Source organism: Homo sapiens, chromosome 1 (genome assembly GCF_000001405.40).
Source record: "Homo sapiens chromosome 1, GRCh38.p14 Primary Assembly".
Classification (NCBI taxonomy): domain Eukaryota; kingdom Metazoa; phylum Chordata; class Mammalia; order Primates; family Hominidae; genus Homo; species Homo sapiens.
Window position 1 is genome coordinate 44,694,027 of NC_000001.11, and position 12,117 is coordinate 44,706,143.

Consider the following 12,117-nt stretch of genomic DNA (forward strand, 5'->3'; position numbering starts at 1 on the left):
TACTTGGTCATTGCACTTATTACATTAGGCATTACATCATTCTTCTTCATTTCTCAAGTGCCAATCATAGTGCCTAAAATTTAGTGGGTACTCAGTCAGTGCTTACTAAATGAATGAACCATGCTTTTACTGAACAGTTGTAGATTCAGTGTTCTACACCTAGAATTATTCATAATTCCCTAACTTTTTGCAGCCTTGTCGTACAACAGATAAAATAGACTGCGTGATGTGATAACAGTGTTTTGAATTAGCAAACCCACTTCTCCTACTCAGCCCTCCAGTTATGGTGGATTTTGGAGGAAAACAAGTCAATATAATAGCATCACAGCATCATTATTTTTTGCAAAATTGACTACCACATAGTCCCAATAAGCCTAAACCCTTTTTTCAACCTTGAACTTTCAGAATAGATCAGTAAAACTAAGGATTTATGTATTAAATGATAAAATTAGTTACCATTTATTGAGTCTTTTTCTTTTTTTCTTTTTTTTTTTTTTTTTTGAGACAGAGTCTCACTCTATTGCCCAGGCTGGAGTGCAGTGGTGCAATCTCGGCTCACTGCAACCTCCGCCTCCCAGGTTCAAGCGATTCTCCTGCCTCAGCCTCCCGAGTAGCTGGGATTACAGGCATGCACCACCGTGCCCAGCTAATTTTTATATTTTTAGTAGAGACGGGGTTTCACCATGTTGTCCAGGCTGGTCTTGAACTCCTGACCTCAAGTGATTCACCCTCCTCAGTGCTGGGATCCCAAAGTGCTGGGATTACAGGTGTGAGCCACTGGGCCCAGCCTATTGAGTCTTTTTATGTTCTAGGCACTGAGATATATACTGTACAAATATTATGTCATTTGGGCCTAACACCCAGCCTAATAGGTGATTGGTATTATTCCATTTTATAGATAAGAAAGATGAGCCTTGAAAAGGTTGAGTAATTTACTAGCACATGGTAGAGATAAAGTTAGAACCGGGTGTCTGTCCGAAAGCCTATACACCATCATGTCTCCTACTCAGTGGACCGTGCAGACCACAGCTCCACCTGCGACACCACACTGGGAGTTCATCTGCAAAGCGCCCTCCCTCCATTTGTCTACAAGCCAGAAGGCCTAACAGTAAGAGTTAGAATCCTAGTCAGACTGCCTAGGTTCAAATCCCGGTTCCAGCAGTTCACTGTGGGACCTTGGACAAGTTATTGACCTGAGATTGTTACCTCATGTTACTCAGGAAGTAAATGGAAATGCTAATAGCACCCACTGGAGGGCCATGGTGAGGATTATTTGAGACAATGCAAGCAAAGCAGTTAGCACAGTGCCCCGCACACAATAGGAGCTGGTACTTGTTAGCAACTGCTGATCTTGTGGCCCCAACATTGCTCCTTCATCCCCTGTTCTCTAGATCCAGGACTCAAACCATGTGTTCTGGAACTAATTCCTGGAAATAATAGACCAGAAATATGTATAGTGAGTGACTATGAAAACAAGACTAGCTGGGTGTGGTGGCTCACGCCAGTATCTCAATACTTAAAGGGAGGCAGAGGCAGGAGGATCGCTTGAGCCTAGAAGTTCAAAACCAGCCTGGGCAACATAGCAAAACTCCATTCTCCACAAAAAGGAAGAAAAAAACAAACAAAAAATAAAGCTGGCATGGTGGCTCACCTCTGTAATCCCAACACTTTGGAAGGCTGAAGCAGGAGGACTGCTTGAATTTACAAGTCCGAAACTAGTCTGGGCAACATAGCGAGACCCCTGTCTCTACAAAAAATACAGAAAAAAAATAGCTGGGTATGGTGGCACGTGCCTGTAGTCCCGGCTACTCAGGTGACTGAGACAGGAGGATTGCTTGAGCCCAGGAGTTCAAGCCTACAGTGAGCTGTGATTGCACCACTGTGCCCCAGCCTGGGCAACAGAGTGAGACCCTATCTCAAAAAAAAAAAAAAAAAGACTAGCCCAGGACAGAGGAAACAGAAGGTGACAGAAACAAAAGTTGGCCAGCCTAGCCTGAAGAAAAAGGGGAGAATGCACTGAGGAAGGAACAGGGGCAGAAGTTGAGGGAGCAGGGTGGGGACAATGTAGGAATAAAAAGACCACCGTGTGGGCTGCTGCCTGGCCCCAACTATGGCAGCAAGAGGCAGGGGAGCCTGGCTCCAGAGCCAACACTATTTTTGCAGTAAAGAGCCTTTCCTAATGAGCCAATCTGTCTCTACTTCTATTGGCATCCTGGGAACCAGGGTGCAGCAGAGATAATTTGCTTCACACACCCCCCGCCCAAACAAAGCACCATTACCTCCAAACCATTACATTAGCCTTTATCAGCCTTGGAAGCTCTCAGTCATCCTCCATGAGCTGCAGTAATTTCAGCTAATTTCTTAAGTGTTCTAAGAGCCTCTGATGTGTTATGAGCCTAGTAATTGTTGACTGGTTCCTTTTCTGTTGTGGCTTGATTTCATACCTTGTATCTGAGCTGATGCGTGCTTTGGGTACTTTATTATAATGAGGCTTTTTGCAAAGACTCACATTAAAAAATAACATTAAATACTGAGGTTGTTTTAAATCAGAGTTTAATTTTTCCACCATCTCCTATTATTCTTATTAGGAAGCCAATTCTTCATAAGGATAGTGACCTCCAGTGTAAAACTTTGAACAAGTACAAAAATTGAGAATTAATGATGAAGCTGGTTCTTTTTAGGGAAATCTAAGAATGAGGCACAAAGTCATGAACTATGCTGACACCAAGGATGCAATGGGCATGGCTTAGAGAGCTTTGGGATATTGACCCCCAGCCTTCTCCAGGGACCCTTAATTCATCAGAGCCTCCTTGTTCCCTAGAAAGCCTGTAAGAGCCAAGGTGGCTGAACTGCCACAGAGGAGCTTCCTGGAGAACAGTGAACAGCCAGCACCCTCTTCCCCCAACCCTGTGTGTACTGCCACTTCCCCTTCCGCTGGTAGCTCCTCTCAGGGTAAAGAGGCACAGTTCAGCTACTTGGCCACCCTGGGCCCGGGGTGGTACCAGAGATCAGGCACGGGCTCTGGCTTCTGTGTGAAAAACCACCCTGAAACTCACTCTTTAACGTGTCATACAGCTATATGACTGACTCATGTTTAGAAAAGCTTCTCAGGTCCATTGGCATCTTCTTATCAGCTGTAAGCAGGTGAGTTCTGTTCTAGCGTGATTCTGGGGGTCTCAGTGGCATCTCAGGCTCATGATGTCTTTGGCATTCACACCACCCAGGGCCACGGATTCCTGTTAGCAGTGGGTTCCTTGTAGCTCTTGGGATGGGCCCAGAGGTAATGTCCACCGGGCTCCTGCTCTAGTTGCTCCCCCATCCCTTTCTCTCCAGTGGCGCTTCACTAGTCAGCACCCTCTCGGTTGTGAATTACAGAAAACCAACTCATATTGGACTCAGAAAAAGGAAAATTAGTGGCTCACTTAACTGGAAAAACCCAGAGGGTAGAAATACATATTTCAGCCCTAACTAGATCCAGGGCTCAAACAATGTCATCAGTACTTGGCCTCCTTCTCTGTCTTTTCCCCCATTTCTGTCTCTTCTCCTCTGTGTTCATAGACCTCTGTATGCCATGGTCCTCAGGAGCTCTAGACATACCAAAAACAGAGCAGATCCTTTCCACAGCTTCCCAAGAAAGTCCCAGGCTTTGAGCCTCATTGGACCAATTTAGGTCCCATGCCCAGCCCCAAACGAACTTCTGCAGTCAGAAGGGTGACATACCCTGTCACCTCCTCACCCCACCAAAACTACATGGCCCATGAGTGGCAGAGGGGTGATTCCCCAAGTGACAGTTGAGGTGGTATTACAAGAAGAAGAAGAGATGCTGGAATGGCAAAACCAAGAACTGTCCCTAGTATGTAATTCCAGTCTTTCCTGCTGGAAGGAAGAATTTCCACACTCGTATCACTTTACCTATGGACATTTCCTGGATAGGAGGGCAAAGTATGTAAAGAGGGGACCTTGGGATCTCTTTGAAAGCTCAGTGCAAAGGAACTTGACAAGAGTTTTATTTCTACTTTTCTATCCCTCTGGACAGTAATCGGTACCTTATAGAATTTCTTGAGGTTGGAGGTGTCCTAACCCTCTTGGAAATACTTGGGCTAGAGAAGATCAAGGAGGAGGCCAAGAAGGAATCTGTCAAACTACTTCAGGTTATTGCGAACTCTGGCAGGACATACAAGGAACTCATTTGTGAAAGCTATGGTGGGTACTGTGTGTGACAAGATGTGTCTCCCTAGGGGCCTGAATGACATGGTGGCAGAACCCACCACTGCTATAGGAAAAACACATCATGAAACTGGTTGAACAGGAAGCTTTTTGTGCTCCTGTCCATGTCACCACTGGAAGACCCAGATTTATGATTCTCCTGATTCATCATTTGCTCACATTTTTCAGTAGTGGTTTTAGAAATACTTCTCCTTTTTAAATATATCCTCTTTCAGGCATCCATTCAAAGATTTGTTGAGCTGTGGCCCAATATCTTTTGTGAAATTGAGTTATGAGGCCGGGCGCGGTGGCTCACACCTGTAATCCCAGCATTTTGGGAGGCCAAGGCAGGAAGATCACCTGAGGTCAGGAGTTTGAGACCAGCCTGACCAACATGGAGAAACCCCGTCTCTACTAAAAATACAAAAAAATTAGCCTGGTGCAGTGGTCGGGGCCTGTAATCCCAGCTACTTGGGATGCTAAGGCAGGAGAATCGCTTGAACACAGGAGGCAGAGGTTGTGGTGAGTTGAGATCACACCATTGCACTCCAGCCTGGGCAACAAAAGTGAAACTCCATCTCAAAAAAAAAAAAAAGAAATTGAATTATGAATAACTCAAGAAATAAAATTGAAGGCCAGACGCAGTGGTTCACACCTGTAATCCCAGCACTTTGGGAGGCCAAGGCGAGTGGATCACCTGAGGTCAGAATTTGAGACCAGCCTGGCCAACATGGCAAAACCCCCTCTCTACTAAAAATACAAAAATTAGGCCAGGCGCGGTGGCTCACGCCTGTAATCCCAGCACTTTGGGAGGCAGAGGCAGTCGGATCACGAGGTCAGGAGATCAAGACCATCCTGGCTAACACGGTGAAACCCCGTCTCTACTGAAAATACAAAAAAAAATTCAAACGCATGGTGGCACGCACCTGTAATGGCAGCTACTTGGGAGGCTGAGGTGGGAGAATCGCTTGAACCCGGGAGGTGGACATTGCAGTGAGCCGAGATCGCGCCACTGCACTCTAGCCTGGGCTACAGAGCAAGACTCCGTCTCAAAAAAAAAAAAAAAAAAAAGGAAATAAAATAAATTTGAAATAAAATTATTGAATACCTACTGTGTGCTAGGTATATGCCAGGTGCTAGGGATACAAAAATGAATACAATATAATCCCTGTCCTCAGACAGTTTAGAGTCTGGTGAGAAAAGTAAATAATATAGTTTTTATTTTTTTCTTTTTTGAGACGGAGTCTCACTCTATCGCCCAGGCTGGAGTGTGGTGGCGCAATATCAGCTCACTGCAACCTCTGCCTCCTAGGTTCAAGCAATTCTCATGCCTTAGCCTCCCAAGTAGCTGGAATTACAGGCATGCGCCACCATGCCTGGCTAATTTTTGTTATTTTTAGTAGAGACGGGGTTTCGCCATGTTAGCCATGGCTGGTCTCAAACTCATGAGCTCAAGCGATCCACCCACCTCGGCCTCCCAAAGTACTGGAATTACAGGCATGAGTCACCGCACCCTCAATAATTTTAATATAGTCCATGAAGTGAGGCATGTAAAAGAGATGCCATCCCCCACATCTCCCTTTTTCCTTTTCTTTTTCTATTTTTTTTTTTTTTTGAGTTGGAGTCTCGTTCTGTAGCCCAGGCTGGAGTGCAGTGGCACGGTCTCAGCTCACTACAACCTCCACCTCCCGGGTTCAAGCGATTCTCCTGCCTCAGCCTCCCCAGTAACTGGGACTACAGGCGCGTGCCACCAGACCCAGCTAATTTTTGTATTTTTAATACAGACAGGGTTTCACCATGTTGGCCAGGCTGGTCTCGAACTCCTGAACTCAAGCCATCCACCTGCCTTGGCCTCCCATAGTGCTGGGATTACAGGCGTGAGCCACAACGCCTGACGAACATCTCCCTTTTTCAAAGCACTTCCCACCCTGCATTCTCATCAAGGTTCTCCTGCCTGTCTACCCCATGGCCTCTCGAAGCCTCAGTGTCTTCATCCATAAAGCGGGAGAAACACCTTCCTCTTGGTATGGTTTCTGGGATTAAGTGAATTAGTATTTGTAAAACCATTTTGCAAACTGCTGAGTGCTATACAAGTGTTATCATGGCCGGGCGCCGTGGCTCACGCCTCTAATCCCAACACTTCGGGAGGCCAAGGTGGGCGCATCACGAGGTCAGGAGATAAAGACCATCCTGGCTAACACTGTGAAACCCTGTCTCTATTAAAAATACAAAAATTAGCCAGGCCTGGTGGCACACACCTGTAGTCCCAGCTACCTGGGAGGCTGAGGCAAGAGAATCGCTTGAACCTGGGAGGCAGAGGTTGCAGTGAGCCGAGATCGCACCACTGTACTCCAGCCTGGGCAACAGACAGAGACTCCATCTCAAAAAAAAAAAAAAAAAAAGAGTTATCATATAGCAATAAAAAAATGCATGTTTTATTTGTAAATTGTGCAGAGCCATTTTAAACTTTAAAACAGATTTTGACATGCCTATGCTGAAATAAAATCCTCCAGCCACATAACTCTAAGGTAAACAAGACAGTGATGCAACATGAGAACCAGGCCTCAATTTTGCTTTGGTTGAACAGGCTTGGTTGAAGAGCTTTTAATCCTATTCATATTATATAATCTTGAGTGGGGATTTTTTCATAAATCCCTTCCAATTTAGCATTTCCTCTCTTCTTTGCTCAGGTGTACGATCCATAGCAGAATTTTTGGCAAAGTCTAAGTCAGAAGAGACCCAGGAGGAAGTGCAGGTTCTGTTGGATTCTTTGGTCCACGGCAATCCCAAGTACCAAAATCAAGTGTATAAAGGTCTAATAGCTTTGCTGCCCTGCGAGTCCCCAAAAGCCCAGCAGCTGTCCCTGCAGACTCTCAGGACTGCCCAGGTGAGCCAAGGCTGCATGCTCCTGTGGTTCTGATTCAGATGCAATAATCTTACAATTACCTTCCGCAGTTGCTCTCCACACAGGCATGAGAAACGGAGCTCAGCCTCCCACTGCATGTCTGTTGTTCAATCAGCGTTACTTCCAGAAGGCCAAGGTAGGGCAGAGAGTTCATGCCTCCCAGCAGAGTGATTTGTCCTGTTTACTTAAGGATCAGAAAGATGTTGGCAGACTTAAAAGTGGTTGAGACAAGCAACAAGGATGATGAAAGGGCTGTAGAAAAGATTAAAGGAGTCGATTTGATAGGGAAAGAATAATGGTGCATTTGTAGACAGCATGTAAGTGAAGAGGCCAGATCTCCAGTGCTGGGGAAGGCTTTTTTTTTTTTCTTGTTGGCTTTTGCCCTTCTCTCAGACAGTACCCTCGGATGCAAGTGAAAACCGAATTTGGGGCACGGTGAGCATACGAAGACATCGTACCTAGTAAAGAGGGGATAGAGGCTTAAAAAGTGGCTTTAAGATGAACCATCAGACCGGGTGCAGTGGCTCAGGCCTGTAATCCCAGCACTTTGGGAGACTGCAGTGGGTGGATCACTTGAGGTCAGGAGTTTGAGATCAGCCTGGCCAACATGATGAAACCCTGTCTCTACTAAAAATACAAAAATTAGCTGGGCATGGTGGTGCACACCTGTAATCCCAGCTACTTGGGAGGCTGAGTTCAGAGGATGGCTTAGCCTGAGAGGCAGAGGTTACAGTGAGCCAAGATCATGCCACTGTACTCCCTGGGCAAAAAAGTGAGACTCGTGTCAAAAAAAAAAAAAGGCAAATTCAAAAATAATAATAACTGGCTGTGGTGGCATGTGCCTATAGTCCCAGCTGCTCGGGAGGCTGTGGTGGGAGGATCGTGTGAGCCCAGGAGTTCGAGGCTGCAATGAGCTATGATGGCACCACTGCACTCCAGCCTGAGTGATAGAGTGAGACCCTGTCTCTAAAACAATTTTAAAAACAGATCAGATTATCATTATTATCTTATTTCCACAGTTCCCAGTTATTAAGTGCCTCATACATGCCAGCCACTGTGTTAGGGGCTTATCTACACGCTCTCTCTTAGTCTTCACTATAGCTGACGGAGGCAGATACTATTCTCCCTTTTTCAAAGATGGTGGAGCTGAGCTCAGGAAAGTGTGTTAAGTGACTTACCCAAGGCCGCATGCTAAGTAAAAGGTGTTTACCAATCGAGAATTTAAATCCACCCTCTCCTACGTCCTTATTCTTTCCACATACCACTCTGCCTCTTCAAAAAAGGGCAATGACAGGGCCGGGCGCAGTGGCTTACTCCTGTAATCCCAGCACTTTGGGAGGCCGAGGTGGGTGGATCATGAGGTCAGGAGTTCAAGATCAGCCTGGCCAGCATGGTGAAACTCTGTCTCTACTAAAAATACAAAAATTAGCTGGGCGTGGTGGTGTGTGCCTGTAATCCCAGCTACTCGGGAGGCTGAGGCAGGAGAATTGCTTGAATCCAGGAGGCGGAGGTTGCAGTGAGCCAAGATTGTGCCACTGCACTCCAGCCTGGAGACACAGCGAGACTCCATCTCAAAAAAAAAAAAAAAAAAGAAAAGAAAAGAAAAAGAAAGAGGGCAATGACAGTGATAGAAGAAAAATAGGGTTGGAAAATCAAGGGAAAAGAGTTTCCGTAAGGAGGACATGATCAGCTGGGGTCAGATGCAACAAAGTCATTCAGTAAGGGTAGAATAGAAAGATAGTCCCAGCAGGAAAAGTTTTGGTGAGTTAGGAGACTGTCTATGGCAGGAAAAATTAAATCGCAGCAGCCCATCAAAGGATGAATAGGGGATGAAGAAGTGGCTTCTCTTGGGAGGCTTAGATGTAAAGGGAAAAAAGAGCAATAGCAAAGGAGAAGACAGAGTTGAAGGACGATGTTGTTAAATATGGATGAGCTTGAGGATGTTTAATGCTAAAAGAAAAGAACCAATGCATGGGTAAAGTTTGAGGAGAGAGGAAAAAGGGGGCTGTCTGATGGGATGAGGTTCCTGAGGAAGAGAAGATTTTAGGATCTTGAATGAGTTCCATTCTCCTTGCCCTGTGTCCTCTCTCCCCCAATCAGAGTAGCCGGCCTTGTTCCTGCACCTCTAGCAGGTAGCCTCATTTAATGCCTCCTGAGCTAGAGAGTTCAGTGGCAGCCTCAGCCTAGGCCCAGTGACTCACCACTGCCCTCCCTCCCTCTCCCCATTCACCCAGGCACCTGGCTGTTTGGAAGTCTGCGTTTCCTTTCTAACAGGTAGACAAGATCTAAAGACTAACCACCTTGGGCGGGCACAGTGGCTCATGCCTGTAATCCCAGCACTTTGGGAGGCTGAAACGGGTGGATCACTTGAGGTCAAGAACTCGAGACCAGCCTGGTCAACATGGGGAAACTCCGTCTCTACTAAAAAAAAAAAAAAAAAAATTAGCTGGGCATGGTGGCGGGCACCTGTAATCCCAGCTACTCAGAGGCTGAAGCAGAAGAATCGTTTGAGCCCAGGAGGCGGAGGTTGCAGTGAGCCGAGATCGCGCCACTGCACTCCAGCCTGGGTGACAGAGTGGGAATACATCTTTTTCTTTTTTCTTTTCTTTTTTTTGAGACGGCTCTGTTTCCCAGGCTGGAGTGCAGTGGCGCGATCTCGGCTCACTGCAAGCTCTGCCTCCCGGGTTCACGCCATTCTCCTGCCTCAGCCTCAGGAGTAGCTGGGACTACAGGCGCCTGGCACCACGCCCAGCTAATTTTTTGCATTTTTAGTAGAGACAGTGTTTCACTTTGTTAGCCAGGATGGTCTGGATCTCCTGACCTCGTGATCTGCCCACCTCGGCCTCCTAAAGTGCTGGGATTACAGGCGTGAGCCACCGCACCCGGCCGGGAATCCATCTTTAAAAAAAAAAAAAAGACTAACCACCTTGTCCTGTTGTCTGTCTGGTCAGCCAATCATTGGGACCACACACCCCAGCATCGTGGACTGCGTGCTGAAGGTGCTGGGCACGATGCACCTGGAAGTCCAGTATGAAGGTAGGGAGCCTCCAGATTGCAGAAGGGGGCACCGAGAGCCAGACATATCAGCTCTCAAAAGCTTTCTCTTAGTCACAAAGAGCCTTGATGTTGAGTGTCTGAGACAGCCTTGGCAGATGGAAGATGCTGGTTCAGAAAATGTCAGTCACACCTATGCCTTGCGTCAACCACAGGGTGCCTAGGGTGCCTGAACGGTTACGAGAATCTGCCTGGGTCCAGAGCTGGCTCTGGCTCCCAGTCTTATGTGATGCTTCCTGGCTAAACAGAAATCACCCTGAGGAATGTCCTTCTTCTAAGAAACTAAACTGAATAGTCGTAGTATTTGGTTGGTTGTTTTTGCTGGGTTTTTTTTTTTTGAGGCAGGGTCTTGCTTTGCTGCTCAGGCTGGAGTGCAGTGGTACCATCATAGCTCACTGTGGCCTCAAACTCCTGGGCTCAAGATATTCTCCCTCCTCAACCTCCCAAGTAGCTAGGACCACAAGTGTGCACTACTACATCCATCTAACTTTTTAATTTTTTGCAGAAACGAGGTCTCACTATGTTGCCCAGGCTGGTCTTGAACTCCAGGCCTCAAGCGATCCTCTCACCTCAGCCACCCAAAGTGCTGGGATTACAGGCATGAGCCACTGCACCCGGCCAGGAGCTTTTATTTATTGAGAACTTTTTTTTTTTTTTTTTTGAGACGGAATCTCGCTCTGTCATCCAGGCTGGAGTGCAGTGGCGCAATCTCAGCTCACTGCAAGCTCTGCCTCCCGGGTTCACACCATTCTCCTGCCTCAGCCTCCCAAGTAGCTGGGACTACAGGCGCCTGTCACCATGCCCGGCTAATTTTTTATATTTTTTAGTGGAGACGAGGTTTCGCTGCGTTAGCCAGGATGGTCTCGATCTCCTGACCTCGTGATCCACCCGCCTCGGCCTCCCAAAGTGCTGGGATTACAGGCATGAGCCACCGCACCCGGCCTATTTATTGAGAACTTCTATGTGCCAGCCACTTTCCATACATCACCTCATTTACTTCTCAAAATAACCATAAGAGGCCAGGCATGGTGGCTCACGCCTGTAATTCCACCATTTTGGGAGGCCGAGGCAGGCGGATCACCTGAGGCCAGGAGTTTGAGACCAGCCCGGCCAACACAGCAAAACCCCGTCTCTACTAAGAATACAAAAAAATTAGCCAGGGGTAGTGGCATGTGCCCATAATCCCAGCTACTTGAGTGGCTGAGGCATGAAAATCACTTGAACCTAGGAGGCGGAGGTTGCATTGAGCCGAGATCTCGCCACTGCACTCCAGCCTGGGTGACAGAGCAAGATTCTGTCTCAAAAAAAAAACAACAAAACAACAGCAATAACAACAAAATAACCATAAGAGTACAAACCCTGGTACATATTAGGTATTCAAATGTTTCCATGAATGAATGGTAAAGATACGTATTTTTATGTTTTTCAAGATACAACAATAAAGCACAGAGAGATTAAGTATGCTTCCCAAGGTTACACAGCTATTGGATTCTAGCCAGATCTGCCTGACTCTAAAGTTTATGCTTTTAACATATAGCGCATGGCAGATATTTAAACGATATAATTTCCTTCCCTTTCCCTATAGTGGTTCAGAGGAAGGAGATTCTATTTTCAACAGGAGGAGATTAAGGAAGGGTTCACCGAGACGGTGGTGTTTGAACTGAGCCGTGGAGAATAGGGAGGATTTGGGAAGGTCGAAAGGAGGAGAGGAGTTCGTTCTGGAAAGGGGAATGGTAGAAAGGAAGGCAGACAGGGAAGTACAAGGTGTGTCCTGGGAATAATGGGTAGGTCATTTAGAGAAGGGATGGTAAAGGTCTATGTCTAGGAAAGGTAGGCTAGGAGCAATGGAGGGGCACCTTGAATGCCATGTAGGTAGGTGGCAGTCTCTCCAGTATGCAGCATGGAGCCGCTGAAAAGTGAGCTGTGCACAGGTGAGGGCTGAGCAAGTGCAG

The 12,117-nt window shown here is 46.8% G+C and overlaps 1 protein-coding gene and 1 long non-coding RNA gene across 31 annotated transcripts in view; one reads left to right on the top strand and one right to left on the bottom strand.

The window, feature by feature from the left end:
* ARMH1 (armadillo like helical domain containing 1) overlaps positions 1-12,117 on the top strand; it is a 50,878-nt gene that overhangs the window by 19,313 nt on the left and 19,448 nt on the right. For 26 of the 27 annotated variants that reach the window (XR_007059336.1, XR_001737140.2, XR_001737141.2 and 23 more), the window contains 4 exons: positions 3,076-3,144; positions 4,037-4,203; positions 6,897-7,093; positions 10,063-10,147. Coding sequence is in view for 24 of the 27 variants with exons in the window: in XM_011541340.2 (XP_011539642.1) it covers positions 3,076-3,144; positions 4,037-4,203; positions 6,897-7,093; positions 10,063-10,147 (518 nt within the window). In the remaining 3 variants the exon portion in view is untranslated. The remainder of the gene's footprint in view (positions 1-3,075; positions 3,145-4,036; positions 4,204-6,896; positions 7,094-10,062; positions 10,148-12,117) is intronic. The other variant, XM_047419380.1, reaches the window with a different exon arrangement.
* LOC105378690 (uncharacterized) overlaps positions 1-12,117 on the bottom strand; it is a 36,515-nt gene that overhangs the window by 5,713 nt on the left and 18,685 nt on the right. For 2 of the 4 annotated variants that reach the window (XR_001738032.2, XR_007066058.1), the window contains one exon: positions 6,620-7,569. This is a non-coding gene — a long non-coding RNA (uncharacterized LOC105378690). Of the gene's footprint in view, positions 1-6,619; positions 7,570-12,117 lie in introns of those variants that run through there. The other 2 variants (XR_007066059.1, XR_947286.4) reach the window with 2 other exon arrangements.